General features: G+C 49.3%; 1 protein-coding gene and 1 long non-coding RNA gene across 8 annotated transcripts in view; one reads left to right on the top strand and one right to left on the bottom strand.

Annotated features, from left to right (window-relative positions):
* Window positions 1-17,894, top strand: part of PLA2G4E (phospholipase A2 group IVE) — a 69,122-nt gene extending 51,228 nt beyond the window's left edge. For 2 of the 7 annotated variants that reach the window (NM_001206670.1, NM_001395548.1), the window contains exons 11-20: window positions 2,217-2,352; window positions 3,980-4,116; window positions 6,517-6,739; window positions 9,241-9,355; window positions 9,924-10,061; window positions 11,320-11,427; window positions 12,101-12,304; window positions 13,471-13,637; window positions 14,857-15,040; window positions 15,502-17,894. In NM_001206670.1, the coding sequence (NP_001193599.1) occupies window positions 2,217-2,352; window positions 3,980-4,116; window positions 6,517-6,739; window positions 9,241-9,355; window positions 9,924-10,061; window positions 11,320-11,427; window positions 12,101-12,304; window positions 13,471-13,637; window positions 14,857-15,040; window positions 15,502-15,722 (1,633 nt within the window). In that variant the 3' untranslated portion in view covers window positions 15,723-17,894. Of the gene's footprint in view, window positions 1-628; window positions 1,321-2,216; window positions 2,353-3,979; window positions 4,117-5,827; window positions 5,921-6,516; window positions 6,740-9,240; window positions 9,356-9,923; window positions 10,062-10,328; window positions 10,402-11,319; window positions 11,428-12,100; window positions 12,305-13,470; window positions 13,638-14,856; window positions 15,041-15,501 lie in introns of those variants that run through there. The other 5 variants (XM_011521238.2, XM_011521239.2, XM_047432158.1 and 2 more) reach the window with 5 other exon arrangements.
* On the bottom strand, window positions 382-26,713 carry PLA2G4E-AS1 (PLA2G4E antisense RNA 1). Its single transcript, NR_120334.1, has 4 exons — window positions 26,478-26,713; window positions 25,518-25,672; window positions 18,020-18,171; window positions 382-2,337 (listed from the first exon to the last, which is right to left on the bottom strand). It is a non-coding gene; the product is annotated as a PLA2G4E antisense RNA 1 (long non-coding RNA).
* Between the last annotated feature and the right edge of the window lie 11 nt (window positions 26,714-26,724).

Raw genomic sequence — 26,724 nt, 5'->3', positions numbered from 1 at the left:
GGTGTGCAGTGGTATCTCACTGTGGTTTTGATTTGCATTTCCCCTATGGCTAATGATGTTGAACATCTTTCCATGGGCTGGCTGGCATATCATCTTCTTTGGAGACATTTCTATTAGATCCTTTGCCCACTTTTTATGTGGGTTATTTGTGTTTTTTTATTGTTAAGTTGTAAGAGTGCTTTACATATGCCAGATACAAATCCCTTGTCAGATATATGATTTGCAAATATTTCCTCTTATTCTATGGCGTATCTTTTCACATTCTTGTTGGTGTCCTTTGAAGCACAAAGGACTTTACTTTTGAGGAAATTTGTTTTTTTATCTTGTCACTTGTGCTTTTGGTGTCATATCTAAGAAACCAGAAATCATTGCCTAATCCAATGTCCTGAAATTTTTATTTTATTTTATTTTATTTTATTTTATTTTGAAATGGAGTCTCACTGTCGCCCAGGCTGGAGTGCAGTGGTGTGATCTCAGCTCACTGCAACCTCTGTCTCCTGGGTTAAGCGATTCTCCTGCCTCAGCCTCCCCAGTAGCTGGGATTACAGATGCACACCTCTACACCTGGCTAATTTTTGTATTTTCAGTAGAGACGGGGTTTCACCGTATTGGCCAGCTGGTCTCGAACTCCTGACCTCAAGTGATCCACCCTCCTCGGCTTCCCAAAGTGCTGGGATTACAAGCGTGCGCCACCGCGCCCGACCAAAGTCCTGAAAATATATTCCCATGTTTTTTTCTAAGACTTGTTTAGTTTTAGCTCTCACATTTAGGTCTATGATCAATTTTTAGGTAATCAATCTACATGGTGTAAAAGAGGGGCTCAACCTCGTTCTTTGGCATGTGGATATCCAGATGTCTCAGCACCATCTGCTGAAAACAACATCGTTTTCAGAAATCTTGATTGTCAGAAATCAAGTGGCCATGATTTCTATTGACAGTTTGATTAGCTATTTGCCCTTGGAAAAGCTCTTTGCCCTTACTGAGTCTCTGTTTTCCTCATCTGTACATTGGGAGAATAACAAGGATCCTGTGCATCACTGGGTTGCTCTGAGGATCCAGCTAGACAGCACGTGCGAAGTACTCAGTAATCCATCTGGCAAGTGGGATGCTCAGCAAACGTCAGCTAATGTTATTGTTATTATTGTTGTTGTATTATTATTATTCATTCCCTGTTGAGGCCAAAGAAAGAATTATTTTCTAACAGCCATGTCTGCAGCCCTGTGCTGGACAAAGAGGAGACATGATGGAAATCTCCTAGGCCCAGCCTTCAAGGAGATGTGGCTTTGTCAGTGAGCCAAGGCTCAGTTGGAAATGGTCAAGGTACATTCATCTGGAGTCACTGGGGAGCTGGGCCTCAGAGGATGCACAGGCTGGAGGTGGGCAAAGGGAAGACACTTCTGGTGAAGGCAGGGGCCTGTGCCAAGACCCGGAAACAGGACTGCTTCTGGGAGCTCTGGGACCTGACCCAGAAGTTTCGCGGGTAGTTTGAGGTGAGCTTGGAAAGATCAGGCAGGGTCTTGGATGCCAGGCCAGGAGCCTGGACTTGTTTGGGGCAGGGATGTGATTAAAAAAAAAAAAGAGGACAAGCATTGTGCATGTCACAGAGGTGCCTGCCCCACCTGCCTGCAGACTATGAGGTGACACAATGAGATCAGGAATGGGATGGTTTTTGTCAATTGCACACACACACAGAATAATTGTTATTCTAGGAGCAGGAAGAGCTCATTGAAGAACGTGAGCTCCATAGGAACAGGGAGTTTGTTTACCTAGCACAGAAGAGTCCATACCGTGGGGCCTTGTTCAGAGGGATTTGGCAAAATGATCTCAGCGCCTTTTGTCACCCATGCCTGGCCCTGGGCTAGAGAAGCCACCTGGGGGAAGACTTTCTGGACTTTCCAGATCTGGCCGAGGAGACAGAGGACTCAAAGCGTCCCTAACACAGTGCCAACAGTTATCTTTTGTTGAGTACCAGCTCGCATTGTGCCAGCTAAGGCTTTGGGGGCTTTGCATTTGTTATCTCTTTAAGTGCTGAAGACAGTGCTGAGAGTTCAGCACGATTCGCCCCACTTTACAGATGGGAAAGTGGAGACCCAAGGTCACAGAAGTGGTCGCTGGCAGAAGTAGGCTTTGAGCCTAGGTCCAATGGACCCTGAAGCTGTGTCTACTCCAGGGAGGTAGAGGCTGCAGGCCCAATACAGGGTCCTCTCTCCCTCCAGCCCTGAGACACTGGACGTGCGGCTGGGCTTCAGCCTGTGCCCAGCAGAGCTGGAGTTTCTGCAGAAGCGGAAGGTCGTGGTGGCCAAGGCCCTGAAGCAGGTGCTGCAGCTGGAGGAAGACCTGCAGGAGGACGAGGTGGGTAATCAGGGATGTGGCCAGCCTGGGCCCAGCTGGTCCTTCCAGCACCATGCCCTCCCAGCCAACCCAGGCCCTGCCCTACCCCAGGCGCCACCTCCATGGATGCTTTTACTGCTGAGGTACAGGCGCCCTGGTGAGAGCTGTGCTGGAAGTGATTCTGTTTTATATTCACAAGAGAAGGGGAGAGCAAAATGGAGACAGAAAGGACAGAGCCCCAGCGCCTCCTCCCAAGCACTAAGAGTTCCTGCTGTGGCTAAAGGGGCCTTACTCAGGGATAAAATGCCCTCCTCACCCCAGCCAGGAAAACATTTTAAGCTGTACCACCTTCTGCACCCCACACCTCCACCCAAAAGGCCTTAGGTCCTTCTTTCCTCAATTGTCTCTCCTCTCAAATCCGCACAGGTAAACACACTCCCAGAAATAACAGCGCTAGGAAGCTGGAGAGAAGCAACTTGCACTCCTAGGGCCAGACCGCCCCTTCTTCCCACGGGAGCAGACGGTGGGCCTCTGTCACAGCCCTCTGTTGCCTCCCTTGTGTGGACCAAGGCCCACACTCGCCTGGGCAGCAGGCAAGCCCTCCAAGCGCCTGCTTTCTGAGGCTGACCCTAGGTGAGGACAGAGACCTGGCGGGTGCCCGAGGAGGACTTGTAATAGCGCTTTAGCCAATGGAAGGTTCTTACAGCCCCCACTCAAAGGAAAACAGACAGAATGAGTCTTGACAAAGAGCCCCTTCCTCCCTCCTTTTTTTTTTTTTTTTTTTTTTTTTTTTTCTTGAGACAGGGTCTTGCTCTGTCACCCAGGCTGGAGTGCAGTGGCACCATCACAGCTCACTGCAGCCTCCACCTCCCAGGCTCAAGCAATCCTCTTACTTCAGCCTCCCAAGTAGCTGGGACTCCAGGAATGAGCCACAATGCCTGGCTAATTTTTGTATTTTTTTGTAGAGATGGGGTTTCTACATGTTGCCCAGGCTGGTCTTGAACTCCTGGGCTTAAGCAATCTGCCCACCTCGGCCCCCCAAAGTGCTGGGATTACAAGTGTGAGCCATTGTACCTGGCCCTATCTTTAGGGAAACATTCCAGGGGCCTCTTAAACCTCTGCTGACCCAGAGCTGGCAACCCTGCTCCTTCCCACATCACCAGTCCATTGACTCTTGGCCTTGCCAGTACAGTACCTGCTGAGCAGGCACCATGTGCCAGGCCTGGTGCCTTCCCTCAGATCCAGCTACAGAAGATGTTGGTTTGTCCCATTGAGGGATCGCACATTAGTAGGGTTCTTGAACAAGCTGCCCACCACCCTCGGACCCCAGTTTTATCACCTGTTAACCGAGGGCTAGACTAACAGTGCTAAGAACTCTGCTAGCCACAGCTTTCTGTGATTTACCAAGCCTGTGTTAGGCTTCAGAGTCCTTCACTGACACCAACTTCTGGGTGTGGAGCTGAGGTCTATTTCTAGACCCACTGCTCTGTGGAAAGGCAGGTGTCAGGTGGCTCAACGCCGCACTCCCTGCCCTCTGTAGCCAGCTCTGCCTCCTCCATTGTTCTTTCAAAGTTGCCGTCATTCTAAGTCTTCTCCCAAGCTTTGCTTCTGGAGCCTTCCCCAACCGCCTGCCTCTGTGTAACCCCAGGTGCCGCTGATAGCCATCATGGCCACTGGGGGTGGAACAAGATCCATGACCTCCATGTATGGCCACCTGCTGGGGCTGCAGAAGCTGAACCTCCTGGACTGTGCCAGCTACATCACCGGTCTATCAGGGGCCACCTGGTAAGGAGACATGAGCCACTGTCTGTGGAGCCCAGGGCAAGCCACGAACAGGCTGGCCTGGGGTCTCAGGTGAAGCTCCTCCCCGCCACCCAAAGACAAAGTGACTCCTGAAGCCTGGGAAGTGCCCCACATGCAGTGGTGTGGCCTTGGGCATGCAGCTTGACTCCTTGGAGGCTCGGCTTGTGTATCTGCACAGTGCGGATAACAGTAGCTCTGACCTCATGCGGTGGGTGTAAGACGCTCTCCCGCTACTAAGTATGCCAGAGACACTGTATGCCCTGGCCTTTCCTGGTGTTACTGTTTCCCTGGGGCTGTGGTATGGACCCAGGAACATGACCCCATACTGCTGGGGACATGCAACGGGCAGGGCCCTGCAGCTGAGCTCCCTCCTTCTCACCCTCTGCTGGTGAGCAGGGCCAGGGGCTGAGCACTGGGTTCCCCCACAGGGAGGCCAGGGTGAGGTCAGCTTACCCACAGAAGGCACAGTGCCTGCGGCTCACTGTACTTTTAGGGGCCCACAAAAATAGGTTAATTTCTTTTAAAATCAGGATCATTTCATTAACAAACTTATAGGTTGAAGAAAATGTTTTAATAAATAATATGAATACATTTGTCTTTATACAACAGTCATGAAATATAAATTTTAATATTTTTTATGTGGCCAGCATGAAATATAAATTTTAATATTTTTTATGTGGCCAGGTATGGTGGCTCACATCTGTAATCCCAGCACTTTGGGAGGCAGAGGCAGAAGGCTTGCTTGAGGCCAGGAGCTCAAGACCAGGCTGGGCCACATAGGGAGGACTTGTCTTTAAAAAAAACAAAAATAAAAAACATATAAACATTTTTTGTGGGGCCCATCAAAACCCTGCGTGGCCCTGGTTCAGGGTGGCCTATCAAGCAGGGCCGTGTCCTGTCTGTGACTGGTGGGCCTGTGAGCCCTGAGGTCCCTTGCTGTGCCTTGTATACTGGAGGAGCTCTGGGTAGCCCCCGTGTGAGCAAATGGATGTGAATGGGCCTTGGAAAGCCAAGGGCTCCTGTGCCACACACCCCCCCGGGGGGCAGAGGCGCCAGCCCAGGTGAGACAGAAGGAGACATTTGCCTCTTGCTAAGCACTGGAGTCACTGCTTCCTATGGCTCATCTTGTTTCTTCCTCACAAAAAACTATGAGAGAGGCATTGTCATTATTTTTCAGCTGGAGAAACAGAGTAATTTGCCAGGGACACTCAGTTAATGAGCAGTGGAGTAGAATTTGAACCTAGTCCCGGGCCCACATCCTTAACCTCCATGCTAAATGGCTGCCCCCGGTAGTAGGTTAAGAAGGTAACTTGCTTCCAGCAGGTTGAGGGGCACCTGCGTCCTCCCGGACTACTATGCGATAGACAGATAGCAGGAGGAACTCAGGCCCAGCCGGGGTGGGATGGGTGGGGTCCCCTGGCCTGGGGAAAGCACAAGTCGTATTCTTTTAAAAACTCATTTGCAATGGCTTCTGGAAGCTTTTTTAAAGTATAAAATGAATGGGTGAAGCTTATGGAGAGCAGGGTGCTTTTTGTTGAAAAGTCTCCTGACCACCTCCCACCTTCCCAAAAGCAAGTCCTGTGAGGGAGGAGGCCCCTGTTTCCTTAAATGTGCAGCCGCAGACTAGCTGCACTGCCAGGGAGGTCATTCTCAGGCGCAGAATGAAAAGGGCCCTTTCCTGTCCTGACGCAGAAAAGCTGGATCCAGGCCAAGAAGAGGCAGACTGAGGCCAGACCCAGGGCTAGTGGGATCACCTCTTTGTTTTGCTCCCCCCGACAACCAACATGTAAGTTAAGAAGAGAAAGGGAAATAAATCCTCAGTCAACATCAGAATTATAGGAATTAACATGGCAGAGTAGAAACAGCCAGGACCTGTAATCAGTCGAGCCTGGGTTTAAATGTGGGCTCCAGCATTTGTTCTGTGCCATGCACTGTTCTAGCTACCCCACATCACCTTAACTCATGTAATCTTCACCAGAACTCTGTGAAGCAGGTACAATTATTGTAATTCTCCCCATTCCACAGACAGGAAAACTGAAGGGAACGGTGATTAAGTAGCTTGCCCAAGATCACACAGCTAGTGAGCGACAGAGCCTGGCTTGATCCAGAAAGTTCTGGATCCAGAATCTTCATCTTAACCACTGTTATGCCTGGCACACAGTGGGCATTTGAGAACTGGTAGCACTTGTGATTATGAGTAATAATGTTCACCTCCCCTGCTCCTCACTGTCTGCCAGGTCTCTGCCTCACCCCTACTCTCCAGGTTCCCCTCCTGGCAGGTTAGGGTTCTCAATGGCCTGCCCACCTTCCCTCCTGCCCGGGTCCAGGACTCATCAGACAGGGGCCGGGTCAGCCCTATCAGCTGTGCCTGTCTCTTTCCAGGACCATGGCTACCTTGTACCGTGACCCTGACTGGTCCTCCAAAAACTTGGAGCCTGCTATCTTTGAGGCTCGGAGACATGTGGTAAAGGACAAGCTACCCTCCCTGTTCCCAGACCAGCTCCGCAAATTCCAGGAGGAGCTCCGGCAGCGCAGCCAGGAAGGCTACAGGGTCACCTTTACAGACTTCTGGGGCCTGCTGATAGAGACCTGCCTGGGGGACGAGGTAGGTGCTCGGCTTCTCCTGGGCCCCACCCTGCCCTGGCTGATGCCTGGCTCTCTTTCTTCCTCAGGGGAGTCAGGACTTCCATTGCACACAGGGGATTAGGTTAGACCTGCGGGAGTATCCTTGGGCTGGAAGACCGATAAGGTGTCGGACTCTATGACGGAGGAAGGTGGTGGGATTGTCTCCCGTGTACCCTTTAGAGGATGGCTGAGACCCTCGTGTTGGAGGCAAACCTGCCTAGGGCAGCACGTCCTCTGAGAGCCACGCCAAGACACCTGTGAGGGAAAAACGGGGAGGAAGCCGGGGAAGACTGGAGAGCAGTGACGCCATGAAGCGAGTCTGACCCTAGGGGTGGGGAGAGGAAGAAAGGTCAGGCGGCAGCATCCCAGACCACCATGTGGTCTGCAAGGCCCTTGGAGGGTCCTCCAGCCAAAGCTGGCTGTCACAGGAGTCCCGCGTCTCCCAGAACGGGCCAGCCTCAGTATCCCTGCCCCACTCAGTCACAGGAAGTGCAGCCTCAGCACAGACTCAGCTGTGGATTTCAGAGCACAGCAGCTGGGGTCCTCAGTCAATAACACTCTCTACAGTTGGAGGTCTGCAGGGCCCGTTCTCATGGCCACCAGTGGGCCCAATGAGGTTCCTTCCTATTCTGAGATCCAGTGATCTGACTAATACGTGCCCAAGAAGAGGACCAGCCTGTGTTGGGTGGCTGCTGCTGTGAGAGCTGCTACCCAGCACAGGGTGGTCCTTTTCCTGGACACATGGCACAGCACAGGGATCTCCAAGGGGTGTTGCGATCCTGGACATCAGGGTGGGCTCAGCTGACATCTGTGCCCTTTAGGTTGCACAAGCCGAGATTAACAACTTTTGTTGTTGCCTGGCCCCAGAGGAGAGCTTCCCACCTCTGTCCAGGCCCACGGTTCCCTGCTCCACTCCAAAGGTGTCCGGGGAGTTCTGAATTCAAATCAGAACTTGCCAGAAAGTCATTGCAGCAATTATTTTTTATAATAGTAGGTTCCATCTTCCAGAAAGCCAGACAGTTTGAGCACCTGAGAATGACCGGACCCTCATCTTCAATCTTCCCTCATTCCTTCAATTAAATTACTTGAGTACCTCCTGCATGCCAGGAACTGCGCTGGCAAATGGGGATTCAGAAAGGAATGGGACATGGCTTCCAACCCCAGGCCCTCGCCACTTCTGATGGATCCCACCCACCCTGCCCCTGTGATAACCCACCACTTAACCTGTCCTCCCTATGAAGCAGAGCAGGCAGAGGCCAAGGGCATCGGCCTTGGGATTCAGTCAGGATGGGTTTGAAATTCAGGCCCTGCTCTTTACTATTCCTTAAGTGGGAATTACATCAATAAGTGCTAGTTAACATTTTCAACAATATTGTAACAATCATGAGTGCCGCATATGATGAGGAGGAAGCACCGAGTCTTCCGACATCAGGAGTCTCAGCATTCTGGGGGTTTGGTGGGAAGGAGCTGGGTTCCCAGGAAAGCAAGGGCAGGGTTGTTGTTGAGAGGCCTCTGCTCTTGCGCTCTGGCCAGGACAGGAGCCCCTTTCCCTTGGGCCACCTTGACAATGAATGTGGACCGGCTCTTCCCTGAGCCTGCAGCTTTACTTCCAGGACAGTGGGCTCTGTGATGCCCAGATCTCTGGGCCCAGTTATGACCCTGTTTTCTTTCAAAGGAGACCCACATGTCATTGGGCATATACATGTGTTTGCCATTCCACACAGGTTCTGTAGCCTTTGCACACTGGGGTGACCAGGGTTGGTCACCCAGGAGTCAGCTGCTTGGCCTGGGGTCAGAGCCTGGGCCTCTAAGACCTTGATTCTGCCTCGTTTGCAGTGGCTGATTCACTTTGGGAGGTGGACTGTGGCCCGGGCTGATCTGAAAGGCTCCCCACTCTGGGGATTAGAGTGACCTCAGCAACCATCTAGTGTTCAAGTCCTAAGTCTTTTGTTAAAAAAAAAAAAAAAAAAAAGAAGGGAAGAGGAGGGGAGGGAGGGAGGGGAGGGCAGGGGAGCGGAGGAAGGGAAACTTCTTTTCCCCCAACTTTTTACCCCTCAGTTGAGGGAGCTCAACATGCCAAGCTGATTTTTTTTAAAAAATGGAGATGCTAAACATGGAGCTGCTCCAGTTCTAGCAGAGGGAAGACGATGGGGCAGAAGAGGGGCAGTGCTAGCCTCTCCCACCCCTTCCTCTTTATCTGCTGACCCCTAAGACCAAGACCCTGGGACTCTGAGAGACTGTCCTAAACTGCGGATCCAGTCCCGGCCCCTGTCTGGTGGTGGGCAGCCCGAGGGGGTGGTGCCTATGCCATTGGTGCCCTTTCAGAGTGATTTGGCTGGTGTCAGCTGGGGCCGATACAGCAGCCCGGTGAGCTCAGGAGCCAGGAAGTGGCTGCGGGGGTCCAGATTGTCTTCTCATTCTGCACTGCCTCCCTCACCCTCTGGGCTGCTGCTTCTCTTTAACCATTTTGTTTCCCCACAGAGAAATGAATGCAAACTGTCAGATCAGCGTGCTGCTTTGAGCTGCGGCCAGAACCCCCTGCCCATCTACCTCACCATCAATGTCAAGGATGATGTAAGCAACCAGGACTTCAGAGGTAACACCAGTGGCTGGTGATTTACAAGTGGGGTGGAGGGGGGGACTTCTTGGTGGGCAAAAGCACCCAGCACCTCCAGGTCCCCCAATCCCACTCATCTTTGTCAACCTCTACATCCAGACTGTGCACACAGCTGGAGAAATCACCTTTGCTACCCCAATCTGCCCTGCTGCATGGGTGAGGCCGGCAGGCACTGTCTGCAGCTTCCCTGGGCATGTGTTTAATGACACTGGGGAAGACAAAGGTTGTGAAAGGAAGATATTTCTACGCTGCCCAGAGAGAGAGAGACTCGAGAGAGCTGCCCTGCTTCAGGGTCAGTTTTTGTCCCATTCAACAGGCTCTGAGGTGCAAATGAGCCATCCTCCTTGCAAAGCATGGCAAAGCTGACCCTTGCTACACCAGCAGAAGCTGGCCAAGGGTGCCCCCATGTGTCCTTTGGGGGAACTGCGGCCTCCCTGTCCCAGGCTTTCCAAGGCCTGAGCCAGTGGCTGCAGGCAGGAGGGGGGCCCGGCTGTGTGGACGGCTCCCTGGCCTGAGACTGACCCCCGTCCTGCTGCTTCATGTGCAGAGTGGTTCGAGTTCTCCCCCTACGAGGTGGGCCTGCAGAAGTATGGGGCCTTCATCCCCTCCGAGCTCTTCGGCTCCGAGTTCTTCATGGGGCGGCTGGTGAAGAGGATCCCGGAGTCTCGAATCTGCTACATGCTAGGTGACTGCCTTGCAACTGGCGGAATGACAGGGGGCTGCTGCCCAGTGCTGGGCCACCCTGGGTTGGCCCCTGATTATGTGACACTCGGGGCACTTGCCAGCATTGTCTCATCCTAGGAGTGGTCCCAAGTCACTGGGGACCAGAGTTGGTCTGGGGGCTCTCCCAATTTCCTGGTCTCCAGCAGTCTCCCTGCAGCCTGCTCAGCACCACACTGGGAACAGCAGACTCAGACGGAAGCTTCTGTAACTCCCACCCACTCCCGTCTAGCTTCGGCCAGCAGTGTGCCTGCTTCCAGGGGCCAACCCAGACCTGGGACCCGAGGGTCCAGGGAGACCACAGGGTAAGGGGCAGGGTCACCAGAGAAGCCTAGCCCAGCCTCCCACCCTAAGCGCCTCGGTTCTTCATGAGCTGGGCCCACCGAATGCAGGACCCACTCGAGTTCTTCCCTTCAGAGTCTTAGCTGCGCCCGTCAAAGGGCTTCTTCAGAAACAGACCCACATTCACAGCCCCAACACGCCCTTATTTAAATTAGTTGTCTGTGCCTTCCCCTTCTGTCTATCCCAAACCAACCCATCCTGCAAGATCCAACTCAGTCCCATCACTTCTTCCCCCAGAAGCCCCCAGCCCACGGTGGCCTCTCCTTCCCCTGAACACCTATGCTGATGAGCATGTGGTTTAGAAAACTGTGGGCAAAACACGTGGGCTTGAACTCTGAACTCTGGCTTCTCACTCACTAGCTGTGTAAAGTTGGCCAGATTGCCTCACCTGTCGAAGCCTCCATCTTCTCCTTAGTTAATTAGGCTTAAGAGTAAAACCCACCTTATAGAGATTCCAAATGGGTCAATGTCTAATGCCTACATTTAAAAATCATAATAACAAATAGCATTTGCATTTATTGAGTGCTCGCCATGTGCCAGGTGCTGCCCTAAATGCTTTAGATGTATTCACTGACAGCAGCTGGACTTAAACTCAAAGCCTGCACTTGCCAGCATTAAATCCCTGCCGGGGCTGTGCCTTATACACCTTTACGTCTCCCGGCACTGAGGGGAGGGAAGAGAAGAGCTGAGAGCTGAGCCCCTCAGTCACTGTGTTGAGCTGCAGTGGGAAGGGGAGAAGGACATGGAAGTCTGAAGTCTGTCCCGCCTGTGGAGCAGCCTGGCTTGCGTGGGGTGGGGGGGTGGGGGGAGTGGGGAATCAAATGTCAGTGTGGGGCCTGGGGCTGCAGGGTGGAGCTGCTCACGCTGGCCCTGGCTCCCAGGCCTGTGGAGCAGCATCTTCTCCCTGAACCTGCTGGATGCCTGGAACCTGTCACACACCTCGGAGGAGTTTTTCCACAGGTGGACAAGGGAGAAAGTGCAGGACATCGGTGGGTGACCCCGGCTTTCCCTCATGGCTGGGTGATGGGTGACACCGGCTTTCCCTCATGGCTGGGTGATGGGGGGCGGCCCCCGGCTTTCCCTCATGGCTGGGTGATGGGGGGCGGCCCCCGGCTTTCCCTCATGGCTGGGTGATGGGGGGCGGCCCCCGGCTTTCCCTCATGGCTGGGTGATGGGGGGCGGGGTGTGGACCACAAACCGAGGATGAGGCCCCCTGCCACATGTTTCCGCATCGTCACCTATGGCCTAAGACGTGGGAGGGCAGCTGGGGCTACAGTGTCTTCCCTGCCTGGAGGGGAGGGTGACTGTAGGTGAGTGACACCAGCGCCAAGGCCTGGAGGCAAGGCTGCCAGCACCCAGGAGAAGTGAGGAGAGTAGGGTCTATAGCAGTCACAGGTCACTCTTTGAAACTCCCTGTCCTCTCCAGGACGCTTCTTAGCTGTCTCGCTCCCCCTCCCTCTCTACTACCTCTCTGCTTACTCCATGTCTCTCACCTGAATCCTCCTAACCCCAGTGCCAGGACCTTGAGAGCCCAGCAAGGAAGGTATGAGCTGCTTTTACAGTGCTCACCCCTGGGTGCCAGGCAACCATGTGGGGCTTCGCATAGGCAATCTGGGGACTCCACCTCTCATGACCTGCCCTTCATCCCTCCCTCCCCTGCAGAAGACGAGCCGATCCTGCCTGAAATCCCCAAATGTGATGCTAACATCCTGGAGACCACGGTAGTGATCCCAGGGTCATGGCTGTCCAATTCTTTCCGAGAAATCCTTACCCATCGGTCCTTCGTGTCTGAGTTTCACAACTTCCTGTCTGGGCTGCAGCTGCACACCAACTACCTCCAGAATGGCCAGTTCTCTAGGTGGAAAGGTAACCCTACCTGGCTACTCCTTGAGGCCTGCCTCCATATGGAGGAGGAAGATGTGGATGTCAAGGCTGCCATGGATAAAGAATAAGAAAACTTCTCTGGCTATGTTCACTGGGCCAGGCACCTCTCTCCCCATGGTGTTTTCCACATTTGGTGGTGTCGTCTTGAACACTGTATGTGTCTGGCAGCAGGGAGTGGTGTGGGTACTTAACTCACTGCATCTGTACAGTCATTCTATACAGAATCTGTACAACAGTCCTAGCAGGTAGAAGTTGGCCCCATGTTACAGATGGGGAAACAGGGGGTCTTACTTTCTGCAGTTGTGTTCTGGGGATGCCCTTTAATGTGAGTGGTGCCAGGCACAGTGGCTCATACCTGTAACACCAGCACTTTGGGAGGCCGAGGCTGGAGAATCTCTTGAGTCCAGGAGTTTGAGACCAGCCTGGGCAATATGGTGAGACCCCATCTCTTAAAAAAAAATTGTTTTTAATTAGCTGGGCATGGTGATGAGCACCTGTAGTCCCAGCTACTTGGGGGCTGAGATAGAAGGATCATTTGAGCCCAGGAGGTCAAGGCTGCAATGAGCCATGATCACGCCACTGCACTCCAGCCTGGGCAATAGAGCAAGACCCTGTCTCAAAAAAAAAAAAAATGTGAGTGGTGCCCGCTTGGAACTGGGCAGGGATGGCCCAGCTCAGGAACCCCCAAGTGGTAAGCAGCAGAGCCAGGCCTTAAACTGTGGTCCTGCAGCGTCAGCTCAGTGCCGCCTCCTCTGCTGCTGAGGCCCTAAGGCATTGACTTTCGCCTTCTTAATATTTTAATTGGCCGTGGCCTGCAAATGGCTGCTTCAGCCTGGCCTGTTAAGCCTCATCCTCACCATCTGGGGCCAATGGGACAGCTGACTCAGGGCCCAGGGTTTACACTATTTATGGGGTGGTCTTAAGCCCCTTATACCCCACAAGTATCAATATCCCATAAAAGACTAGCTAAAAGCCCAAGATAACGCTGTTCTTCCTCAGCCACCCAGAGGGCACTGGAACTCAGTGGGCGTCCTGGTCAGGCTGAGGCGAAGGATGCTCCAGACAGGGCGCTCCGTCCCCCCAAGTGCCTCTGTCCATTGGCTGTCAGGGCACCAGGTGTGTTGGTAACGGGAAGGCTTGGCTTTCAGACACAGTGCTAGATGGTTTCCCAAACCAGCTGACCGAGTCCGCGAACCACCTGTGCCTGCTGGACACTGCGTTCTTTGTCAACTCCAGCTACCCGCCCCTCCTCAGGCCAGAGCGAAAAGCCGACCTCATCATCCACCTCAACTACTGTGCTGGGTCCCAGACAAAGGCAAGTGCGCAGCCTCCCTCCTGAGCATGGGCTGCAGCCTCTCCTAAGATGGGCCCCGCAGTCAGTGGCCTCACTCGCTGTGAACTGGGAAGAGGCATGCTCTAGACAGCCCCCAGAGAGCATCAGAGGAAGCCAAGCAGCAGTCATGATGGGAAGTCAGACACCCAGAACTCACGGGCAGCCAGCTGGCTCTCACACCATGGTGCCCATGTTGACTTAGCAAATTCGAATTTTACTCTTGCCTTGGAGCATTTGCCATATTGGGCAATTCTTCAGCTACAAAAAATGAGTTTTTAAAAATAACCTTAGTAGAGCCCATTCCATTCAAGAGCTTGTAATATCCTATTTTCAAAATGATCACACTCTCCCTTCCCCCAGGGTATATGACCCTCCATGAATTACACTCAAGTGCTCTCAGGTGGGAGGGAAGCCTGGCGAGAGAGGAGGGCACTTGTCAGAACCAGAAGTTTTTATTTTTTTAATTTACTTTGGAAAGTTCTATGTGTATACAGTTCTACCCTGAAGCCAGGCGAAGTGAAGTGTACACAGACCAACAGGGCAACAATGAAAACAATCTAAGTTTGTAAATGGGTAACAATGCACTTTCCTACGTGTGATCTTGTTTGGCCCTTACACCAGCTCTTGGAGGGAGACGGCACAACTGCTATCATTTCTCATGTTATGGATGAGGAAACCAAGACACAGAGAGACTTGCTTAAGATCACACAGCTAGTGAGCAGAGGAACGAGGGGCAGAACTGAGGGGGTTCTGACACTCTAAGGCAGTGCTCTTCCTGCGACATCATGCTTTTAGAGATGCCCTTGCAGAGTCTTTTCTAGCCCTGTACTACTGTCAGCTCCAAAGCCCATGCACATCCCACAGGGGCCTGGGCAGCTCTGGCTGTGTATAGCCTGGTTCCAGTCGCCCTTCCAGGCTACCCACCACATCCACCCAAGTCTGTGTTTGGATGCGAACACCAACGAAAGGGCTTTTGTCCATTTTACTTGGGGAAGCAGCTTGCAACTGGAGGTGCATCCACCTACTGCCTCGGGCCTTTTGTCCTGACCTGGCTTTAGTCTCAAAATACCATACACTGGCAAAGCAGTTGGGGAGCTGAGTTGTTAGCTGGGGAAATCAGGAAGCTGGGGCTAAGAACTCTGTGCTTCTCCTCCACTCCCACTCCTCCTAATGCTCAAACACGCCCTCTGTGCTGTTCCAGCCCCTGAAACAAACCTGTGAGTACTGCACTGTGCAGAACATCCCCTTCCCCAAATACGAGCTGCCAGATGAGAATGAAAATCTCAAGGAATGCTACCTGATGGAGAACCCCCAGGAACCCGATGCCCCCATCGTGACTTTCTTCCCACTCATCAATGACACTTTCCGAAAATACAAGGCACCAGGTGAGCTGCCTCTGTGCTCAGTTCCCAGCACCTGCTGCCCTTGGCCCGGGAATGCCTTTAGATCTGTAGAGTCTCTAAGGGCACTAACGGGGAAGCCTGGCTCAGCTCCAGCCTGAGCCAACCTTGGCTTCCACAAAGAAGGGCGCCTCCCATTCCCTCACCCCCATGGGCTGGTAGTGTCATCCCCCATTCTTTCAGTCATTCTACATTTTCTGACATTCAGCCATGTGCCCAGTACTGTGCTTGGTGCTAGGGCAATCCTCCAATGGGCAAGCCTGCACCACGCCCTGAGGAGCTTGCAGGTGTGCAGGTGCGTGTGTGAGGGTGTGCGTGTGTACAGGTTTTCATGCAGGTGTGTGTGTCCGTGAGTGCAGGTTGGTGGGCCTTGGGGAGAGATGTGGAAACAAGTCATTCCAACCTAACATGACAGAGTCTATAACAAGTCATCCTGCTGCCCACAGGTGTAGAGCGAAGCCCTGAGGAGCTGGAGCAGGGCCAGGTGGACATTTATGGTCCCAAAACTCCCTATGCCACCAAGGAGCTGACATACACAGAGGCCACCTTTGACAAGCTGGTGAAACTCTCAGAGTATAACATCCTGAATAATAAGGACACTCTCCTCCAGGCTCTGCGGCTCGCAGTGGAGAAGAAGAAGCGCCTGAAGGGCCAGTGTCCCTCCTAGGCCCCAGGGAGCCTCCCCTGTTCTGTGTCAGCTTCTACCATCAGAGGTGCAGGACCCCTCAGGGCTGACCAGGTTACTACGCAGCCAGCTCTGCTCTCCGGCAATGGGTGTGAGCAGGTTGGCCTGGGCTTTCTAACGAAAAGTAAAAAATTTTAAAAAGTTGAGAAAGTCAGAAAGAGAGAGAGAGGAGCTCTGTTGGGGTTTTATACCCACTAGAGTTTCTTCAAGTGCTTCCCTATAGAGAAGGTGGTCTCATAGCCACAGGCTCCCACACATCTGTGGAGAGGAAAAGCCTGGGGAAGAGGCTGGGCCCCCAGAAACCTCGACTCAGAGGCAGAGCCCAGGGCTGGCAGCCCTCCTCTCTCTGTCCTCTACCTCGTGTGGCGGGCCTAGGGAAATGCACAGAAGGACCTGAGAGGCACTCGGCGTTTCACTGGAAAAACACTTCAAAATTTAAGGCAATTCTAGTCTTGTGATTTTTGGGTTTTTTTAGACGGAGTCTCACTCTGTTGCCCAGGCTGGAGTGCAATGGCGCGATCTCGGCTCACTGCAACCTCTGCCTCCCAGGTTCAAGCAATTCTCTTGCCTCAGCCTCCCAAGTGGCCGGGATTAGAGGCACCCGCCACCATGCCCAGCTAATTTTTTGTATTTTTAGTACAGGCTGGTCTGGAACTCCTGACCTCAGGTGATCCACCTGCCTCGGCCTCCCAAAGTGCTGGGATTACAGGCATGAGCCAACGCACCCGGCCCTAGTCTCATTATTTTTATAGGCAATTATATTTCATGATTTTTATTTTTATGAATCGGAGTATTAATAGGAAGCATGAAGCTAGAAGATCTAGATGGAGCCCTAGAAATAAGCCAGTCTCTGCCACAACAAAGCCAAATAGGTGGCCGGTTTCAGTGGCTCTCTCCAGCTACCCAGAGCTCCAGGGCTGGTGATCCATGTCATCATGACCAGACAGCCATGCCCAAGCATCCAGCTCCAAACAAATGCCAGGCAAAGCCTAAGTCTATAGCCCAGGTTCACCAAATGAGGATCTGGGATGGAGTTCAGCAAGGTCAGGCAGGCTGTGGGTAAATGAGGTTGGGGGCCAGGCAGGCGATGCATCCAGCGCTGCCCACTCCAGCTGTCGGTGCTCACTGACGACCCTGCTCCAAGAGCATCTCTCAGCCTCTTACTGCCCATCTCTCTGGCTGCCTCATGGGATTACTTATTTCTAAATGTGATTCCTCTTATCTGTGTTGTCAACACCGTGACCAGTGCATTCCAACTCTTGGAGAGTCACCCACAGAGACTGAAACTGGGAAGAATTAGTGAAAAAGGACTAGGTTAGCCGTCAGAGGAAGAAGCCCGCCCTTTAAGATTGCTTCCTAATGAATCTCTGGGAAAACCCTGGGACACAGAGAAACCCAAAGTCAGCAGGTCTCCCTTCAGGCTGGGAACATAACCAAGGAAATGTATAACCGGAGCCACTGACAGGCCCAGGCTGATAGAAGGTGAAAGCAGAAAGGCAGGAAGACATGAGGTCTGCAGGAAACCCAGCAACCCTGGAAGGCGGAGTCCCCTTTCTGGGCCACCATGCTCCCTAAGCAGTCTTTGGGTTGTGAGGAAACCAGTGGTGACAGGTACCAAAAGTTTAGAAAAATTGGCCTCCGATGTACATCCTTGCTACTCAAAGTGCAGTGGGGAGCTGGTTGGAAATGCGGAATCTCAGGCCTTAGCCCAGCTGTACTAAATTAGAAGCTGCATTTTTCAGGAGATTCCCATCCCCAGGCGCCCCCCGTGATTCCTGTGCATATTGAAGTTTGAGAGGCCTGGATTTACGCCACTCCCTCCCATGAGCTTGGAACGTATGAATCAGTGCTCCCTTGAGCCACTGATAAACTGAGCTCTGGACCTGCAAAACTGGTCCCCATCCAGGTAATGCTAACCTGGGACACCAGCCCTCCCCTCCACCAGAGCAACTGGCTGCCTCCACTTTGACATCTTTTCTTTCTGACTGCAACAGACTCTCCTTCCAGTATCAAAGAGTGAGCCAAGCAACAGACAGGACTTGTTTATCGTAAGGCGAAGGCAGCCATGCCTTGGATTCATCAAAAGTTTGTGAAACGAGGTTTATAAAATCATCATATTATTTGTGCATGGAATAAAATGGCCATGTGGGTGAATGCTGCTGACTCATCTGCTTTCATTATCTGATGCTGCAAAATATGCATAACCCTGCCCTCATCCCTTCAGGCTTCCTCCTCTCCACTCCTGGGGGAGTGAGTAGGCCGTTTCCATCCCATCCCACCTTTTCTCATGCAGCTTTGTTTCCTACTGCAAGGGTCTCTTCTAGTGGTGAGGTGCTCCTCTGTTTTCATGAAGCCATGTCATCAACTAGTGGGGCACCAGCTCGTACAGATCCATGCTGTTCCAAGCTCAGGTATATTTCAGGAAACATTGCTTGAGAGGAAACAGAGGCAGTTAACACCAACGAAACACCTACTTTGTGCACAGCAAGCTGTAAACAGTCTCTGCTTTCCAGGAACTTACATTTTGGTTCGGGAGAAAACCATGAAAAGATTGTTATGCATACATGAGAAGTTAAATGGTGAGTTGGCTAAGGAAATGACAAAAGTGTCATCAACTCTGACAGGGCAAGCACATGGTATCCTGCAGAAGTCAGGGGAGGCTCCCTTCCCAGTTCCCTGCTCTCTGCCTATGATGAAGATGATGAAATTGACAAAATGAATGAAACCCGTCCCTCCTTGTCTCCACCCTTTCTTCCCAAAAGAGCAACCAGCACCCCACCCGCTCCCACACACCAGTTACCCTGTCCCCGCTGCCTCCCCACGAAAACACTTCTCCTCAAGGTCACCAATGGCCTCCTCATTGCCAGATGCACTGAGCCAAACCCACCAGTCTTGTAAAGGCCTTATCTGACTTGATTGTTCTCAGTGTTTGCACCGCAGACCACTCCCTCCTTCTGGAAACCTTCCCTTCCCAGGACTTCCTTGCCAAAAGCAGTTCAATTCAGTTCAGCTTGCAAATAACTACTGCCTGCCCATTACATGCCAGTCACTGTTGTAGGCACTGGGGCCACAAGAAGAATTAACAATTGATTCCAAACTTTAAGGAGGTTCCTTCTGGTCCCATGTGGGAGGCCCTCATGTAAAACAGAGCCCTTGTGATATGAAGAGAAAGCTGCATGTTAGCTGTGTCCAGAAGAGGCATAGGAAGGGCTCCCAACCCAGCCACAGAGGGGAAGAAGTCGTGTTCACTGAACACCTTCTGTCTCGGGTTTCTTCCCCTGGAAAGGTGGGAGCCCCTCCTCTGGCCTCTCTTTTAACTGCTGCCATTCCTCGAGGCTCCTTAGCTCTTTCCTCTTCTCACTCTGTACTCTCCTTAAGCAACCTCATTTATACCCAGGACTTCAACTACTGCTTCTAATTTGAAAATTCTTAACCTTTTAGCTTTAGCCAAGCCAATCTCCTGGTTCTAAACCCATGAATTCCAATTCTGTGCCTATTAGCAATGCTTTTGCCGTATAACCTGAAGATCTAAAATTACAGTGGCTTAAACAAGAGAGAGAGTTATTTCTCTATTATCAGAGACCAAAGCTCCTTTCTGCTCTCTTCTGTCATCCTCAAGATTACCATCTGGTCCAATATTGCTGCTGGAGCCCCACCCATCATGTCCACATTCCAGGCAGCAGGGAAGATAAAGGAATCTGCGTTCTTGCTGACTACAAAGTGACCAAACTTGTCCTGGACTGCCTATGTCTGGACTTCTTCTCTGTGAAAAAGAACTAAACTTTTATCTTAACATAGTAAGAATTACCAGCTGTTCCAGTTATCTACTGCTGAGCATCAAAAGCCCTCAATGTATAATGGCATAAATTAACCACCATTTTATTATGCTCACAGATTCTGTGGGTCAGGAATTTGAAAAGGGCATAACTGCTCCATGTTTGGGGCCACAGGTCAGATGATCTGAACTGCTGGTGAGGACTCCAGTGGTTGGGATCTGGGAACAGCCTGGGCTGAAGGGCCCTCGTCCAACGACTCTTTCACTCCTGTGTCTGGTGCCTGGGCTGGGAAGTCTGTGAAAGATGAAAGGCAATCCCAGCTAGGAGTGTCAATCAGAGCACCTTGGTGACCCCAGCATGATGGACTCAGGATGGTCAGTCTTCTTAAATGGCACTCAGGGTTCCAAGAGTGTCTGTTACAGTGGCAGCAGCATGGCCCATTATGACTTAGCCTCAGAAGTTACGTAGCTCCACTTCCATGGAAATCTATTGGCAGAAGTAGTCACAAGCCAGTCCAGATTCAAGGGGAGGGGACAATGAACCCATCTCTGGATGGAGGGCATGTCAAGAACTGTGCAGCCATATTTTAAATTCCAGCTACAATATTTGAATCCTTAATATTGACCTTCCCCCTTGTCCGCTGAGCACATGTCACATTTTAGGTTCCGTTGTGGCAGACTCCATTTCTGGTAACAAATTGATTATTGGTTAGGAATTGCATGTTTATTTCTGAAAAATGGTGGCTTAAACACACTCATGTAAAAGACATCCACAGGAAGGCAGTTCAAGGCACACCTACGATTCGTCAGGGACCCTGCTTCTTCTGGCTCTTTGCTTTATCCACCCTTATGTGGTCCTTGGCTTCATGGTCCAGGGTAAGCCCTGGAGCTCCAGCTATCACACCCATATTCCAGGCCACCAGAAGGAAGGAGAAAAAAGATTGAACTCCTTCTTAAAGGGACTTCCTGGAAGTCCCACACATCCTGCAGCTAACATATCACCAACCAGAACTTGGTCTCATCATCACACTTAACTGCAGGGAGGCTGGAAGTTTTTGTTTTTTGCATGGGTGGCAATATGCCCACCTAAAAATCAGAGTTCTGCTGCGAAAGAAGGACAATTTATACGCAGCTAGCAGACTTCCTGCAAGTACCTCCTAGCCATCTCCACCTGTGTGTCCTATAAGCCCCTCCTCTGGGTGGTGGCAGTGACTTGGGTGAGTGGCCACAGAGAAAGGCCATCAGCGTGTGAGAGCACCAGGCCACAGCACTGCCTCTGGTCTCAGCACGAGTCTCCCAGGCCTTTAACCACTCTGCAATCCAGTTTTCAGGGTAAAACACTGGACTTGATCACCATTTAAAGCCAACCACTGAACATGGTCTAGAGCAAATCTTCTGACCATTATTACCAGCTTCCTAATTTCAAGCGTGCATTCAATACAATAGATTTCCGAACAACTAGTGGCATTCCCTTGTAGAACTGCCTGTGATAGGATTTGACCTGAAAAACAACTGGATTCAGATGAAAGAGTGACTGCAATTGGGACTGTTTAGTCTGAAGAAAGAAAACCAAAGAGCAGAATGATTTGCAAACAGATGCAACATGACTATGGCGGGGAGGATCTGCCACTGTCTGGCTTCATTGAGGGTAGAGCAAGCACAAGAAAGCTGCCGCTGCCCCATGAATATGCACACCTACTATGTGCCCACAAAAACAATAAAGTAAATAAGAAAGCTGCCGCTGCCCCATGAATATGCACACCTACTATATGCCCACAAAAACAATAAAATAAAGCTGTCACTGCCCCATGAATATGCACACCTACTATGTGCCCACAAAAACAAAATAAATAAGAAAAAAAGCTGTCACTGCCCCATGAATATGCACACCTATTATGTGCCCACAAAAATAAATTAAGCTGCTGCTACCCCATGAATATACACACCTACTATGTGCCTACAAAAATAATAAATAAGAAAGCTGCAACTGCATGAAGGCAAGCAGGGAGCGAAGCAAGATGGGACTGGTGCCTCCTCTGGGCCAGGCGCTTTTAGGACTTTCTCTTCTTTTCTTTTTTTTTTTTAAGATTAAAGACAGTACATTTTTTTCTTCCTGATAATTTTTTCTGCTTTTATAACAGGAACGTGATTACTGTGTAACATTTGAAAAATGCTACAGCTTATAAAGAGGAAACTAAGATCATTTACCAGTCCAAAACTCAGACATCGTTATTATTTGGGGGTTTTTCCTTCCCATCTTTTTCTTAGATACTTTAAACTGTTTAAAACAAAAGTACAAAAATCCTGTACGTCCACTTTAAAAGACGTGTGGTAGAAAACACGCACACCATTTACCGTTTTAATAATTTGAAGTGTAAAGTTCAGCAGTTTCAGGCATATTCACACTGTTGTGCAACAGATCTCCAGAACTCTTTCATTTTGCAAAACTAAAACTCTATACCCATTGAACAACTCCCCATTCCCCTCCCGCCAGCCCCTGATAACCACCATTCTACTTTCTGCTTCTGTGAATTTGACTACTTTAGAAACCTCATATGAGTGGAATCATACAGCATTTGGCTGTTTGTGACTGTCTTATTTCACTCAGCATAATGTCCTCAAGGTTCATCCGTGTTCCAGGGTGTAGCATGTACCAGAATATTCTTCCATTTTAAGGCTGAATAATATTCCTCTGTGTGCGTGTGTGTGTGTGTGTTACATTTCGTTTATCCATTCATCCATCGATGGACACTGGCTTGCTTCCACCTCTTGGCTATTATGAATGATGCTGCTGTGAACATGGGTAGACAAATACCTCTTTGAGAGCTTGCTTTTAATTCTTTTAAATATATACCCAAATTGGGGATTGGTAAATCATATGGTAGTTTTTGTTTTGTTTTGTTTGAGACAGTCTTGCTCTGTCACCCAGGCTGGAGTGCAGTAGCACAATCTCAGCTTACTGCGACCTCTATCTACCTCCCGGGTTGAGGTGATTCTCCTACCTCAGACTCCCGAGTAGCTGGGATTACAGGTGCCCGCCATGATGCCTGGCTAATTTTTGTTATTTTTAGTAGAGATGGGCTTTGCCATGTTGGCCAGGCTGGTCTTGAATTCCTTACTTACCTCAAGGGATCTGCCTGCCTTGGCCTTCCAAAGTGCTGGGATTACAGGCGTGAGCCACTGCACCTGGCCAGTAGTTCTATTTTTAAATTGTTGCAGAACCTCCATATTGTTTTCCCTAGCAGCTGCATGTACATTCACTTTTGTAATCTAGCCTTTTTCCACTTAAAAATATATTCTGAGCATTTTTGCACATCATTAATATTCTTGTCAAATGACATAGTTTTCAGTAACCACATAGGAACCCATAATTTGCTTAACTAATCCTCCATGATGATAGACAGCTCCATGCTGACAACCATCGTCTTAGATAAAAATTTACATTAATCATTTCCTCAGTATAAATACCCTCAGGATAAATTTCCTCAAGATAAAAATTCCTGAGTCAAAAAGTATGACCATATTTAACAACTAATCAAGGTGTAATAAACATATGATCAACTGTGCATATTTAAAGTACATTTATCCGTGAGTCCAGGACCCCTGGGAATACCAAAACCATGGATGCTCAACTCCCTTATATAAAATGGTATTGTAAAAAAAAAAAAAAAAGGTATTGTATTTGCATATAGCCTAAGCACATCCTCCACATACTTTCTTTTAAACTTAAAACGCCATGCATCAGGAACCCATATACTTTAAATCCTACCTAGATTACTTATTATTAATGTAGATGATATGAAAATAGTTGTTATACTGTATTGCTTAGGGAATAATGAAAAGGAAAAAAGGTCTGTATGTGTTCAGTACAGATGCAACCATCCATTTTTTTCCCCAAATATTTTCCATCTGTGGTTGATTGAATCCATGGATACAGAACACAGAGATATGGAGGATCCAACGTACATAATTTCATGAGTTTTTACATATGTATACAATGGTGAAACCATAACCACAATCAAGGTAATGAATAAACCCTTCAGCCCCAAAAGCTTTCCAGTGCCTTTTGCAATCCTTCCCTCTGCTCCTCCCCTGCTGGGTCATGTGGTAAGTGTACGTTCCACTTTTTAAGAAACTGCCACACTGTTTTCCAAAGTGGTTGTGCCATTTTACATTCTGACCAACAATGTGTAAGAGTTCCAGTTGCTCCACATCCTCATCAATGATTGGCATGATCAGTCTTTCCTAATTTTAGACATTCTAATAGGTATGTGGTAGTATCTTGCTGTGGTTTTAATTCGCATTCTCCTAACAAACAACAATGTTGAACATGTCTTCATGTGCTTATTTGCCATCCATACATCTTCTTTTGTAAAATATCTGTTTAGATCTTTTTTCCATTTTTTAAATGGAAATTTTAAAATTGGGGTTTTTACTATTAAGTTTTAAGAAGTTTTTAAATATTCTGGATACAAGTCCTTTATCAGATATGTGATCTGCAAGTATATTCTGTGCCTTGTCTTGTCTTTTCATTCTCTTCACAGTACTTTCAAAGGTCAGAAGTTCTCAAGTTTAATGAAATCCAATTTACCAACTTTTTTTTCCTTTAAGGATTGTGCTTTTGGTGTCACCTAAGAAATCTTTCCCTAACCCAAGTTCACAACAATTTTCTCCCGTGTTTTCTACTAGAAGTTTTATAATCTTAAGTTTTACATTTAGTTCTACATTTATATTAGTTTTATATCTAGTTCCATTTTAAGTTAATTTAGTGATGTATCTATTTAGGTTAGGTTTATTGATTGTAACGAATGTTCCATTGGTTCAGGATGTTGATAGTGGGGGAGGCTGTGTGTCGGGGAGGGTGGGGGTATATGGGAACTCTCGGTACTTTATGCTCCATTTTGCTGTGAACCTAAAACTGATCTGAAATTCACGAGTCATTATCACTTACATTCACTCTTGGTGTTGTACATTCTGTGGGTTTTGACAAATATATAATGACATGTATCCATCATTATAGTACCATAAAAAGTAGAGCCACTGCCATAAAAATCCTCTGTTCTCTGCCTGTTCATTCCTTCCTTCTCCCTAACACCTAGAAACTACTGACCTTTTTACTTCCTCCATAATTTTGCCTTCTCCAGAATGTCATAAAGATGAAATCGTACAGTACATAGCATTTTCGGATTGGCTTCTTTCACTTAGTAATAGGCATTTAAGTTTCCTCTGTGTCTTTTTATGGCTTGATAGCTCATTTCTTTTTAGTGCTGAATAAGATTCCATTGTCTGGATGTACCACAGATTATCCTTTCACTTACTGAAGGACATGTTAGTTGCTTCCAATTTTTGGCACTTATGAATAAAGCCACTATGAACATCCATGTACAGGCTTTTCTGTGGATATAAGTTTTCAATTCATTTGGGTAAATACTAAGGAGCTGATTTCTGCATCATATGGTAAGATTGTATTTATATCCGTTTGTTTTTATGTATTCTAAAAAAATACATCGAAGCTTTTACTTTTGTTGTCAAATATGTCAGCCTTTGCTTTCATAATTTCTGTCCTTAATGTTGGTTAGAAAGGCTTTTCCACCGCCAAATTGTATAAATCTCTTGTACCTTCTTCTAGTAGTGCAGTGGTTTCATTTTCTTTTTACATTTCAATCTTTGTTTTATTTTGACACAAGGCAGATGTCTAACTTTATTTTCCCTTGGCTTTCTTTTCACTTCCCTAGTTACATACAATTCCCTCCAACTATGTGACCCACACAACAACTCCAAAGGAGTTTCCATTTTGCTCTTAAGGAAACTAGGGCAGAGAGGTAACTCATCACATTTAAAATCACACAGCCATTAATTTACATAGTCAAGGTTCAAACCCAGATCTTTTGATGCAAAGTCCTGTTCTCTCATACTCCAAGTATGGTCCAGGGATGGGTAGCATTGGCAATACCCGAGAGCCTGTTAGAAATGTAGAGTCATGGGCCCCATCCCATACCTACCGAATCAGAATCCGCATTTCTGTTAGGTTGGAGAAGTACTGCAGGGTGTACTGTTTCCCCAGACTTAGGCCACATCAGAGTCACCTAGGGCATCTGTTGAGCTCCATCTCTCCTCAATATTTTAACTCAGTAGGTCTGGACTGAAGACCAGGAATCTGCATTTTAACAAGCATCCCAGCTCATAAATGCATATATGCAGGTGGCCCCATGGATCACACTTGAGAAATGCTCTAAAACAACTAAGAAATATTCCTAAGCTACAATCAAGGACACAAAAGGTGATTATTTCCCCCAATCTCAACTTAGATAAGTGAGTATCCTTTTAACCTAGAAAAGAAACAGGCCAGGGGCGGTGGCTCACGCCTATAATCCCAATACTTTGGGAGGCCAAGGCAGGCGGATCATCTGAGGTCAGGAGTTCAAGACCAGCCTTACCAATATGGTGAAACCCCATCTCTACTAAAAATACAAAAATTAGCTGGGCATGGTGGTGAGCGCCTGTAGTCCCAGCTACTCAGGAGGCTGAGACAGGAAAATTGCTTGAACCCGGGAAGCGGAGGTTGCAGTGAGCCGAGATCGTGCCACTGCACTCCAGCCTGGGCGACAGAGCGAGACTCCGTCTCAGAAAACAACAACAACAACAAAAAACAGCTAGGAGGTGACAATGACTCACATGTCAATATGTGGAAATAAAGTTGTAATAATGAGGATAATGTAATAATGAGAGTAATGACTAAATTTTCGGCTTTACAGAAAAACACATAAAGAAAACTAAGGGGAAAAAGCCTTTAGCTGATCCAGAATTTAGTGAGGGCAATGTGGAGAAGTAGGAGAAACGGCTACTCAAATAGATTCCAGTCCACTTCCCCTCAAGATTGTGTCAATTATGCCCGTGAGCCTGGGTCTCTTGGCCTGTAAAACGGAGTCATAACCACCCGCCCCCGGGAAGACAGAACCTGCCTGTCCACTTTCTGAACTTTTCATCCCCAGTATCGACGTCCAGAGGCCTGAATGAGTAAACGTTCCAGGAGATGGAGCAGCCTCCGGAGGCTCGCTTTGGGCAGCTCAGATTTACCCGGAAGCCGATGCCACCTGGCCAGAGGTGAGGCACCGGCAACCAGAAGGGGGCCCTGAGCATGACCGGTCAGTGCCACCCGGCCGGGAAGACACCATCTCCCCGCCCAGTCCTCTAGAATGACTCCGTCAT

This window comes from Homo sapiens, chromosome 15 (assembly GCF_000001405.40).
Source record: "Homo sapiens chromosome 15, GRCh38.p14 Primary Assembly".
In the NCBI taxonomy this organism is placed as follows: Eukaryota; Metazoa; Chordata; class Mammalia; order Primates; family Hominidae; genus Homo; species Homo sapiens.
This window is presented reverse-complemented; position numbering and strand designations above follow the sequence as displayed.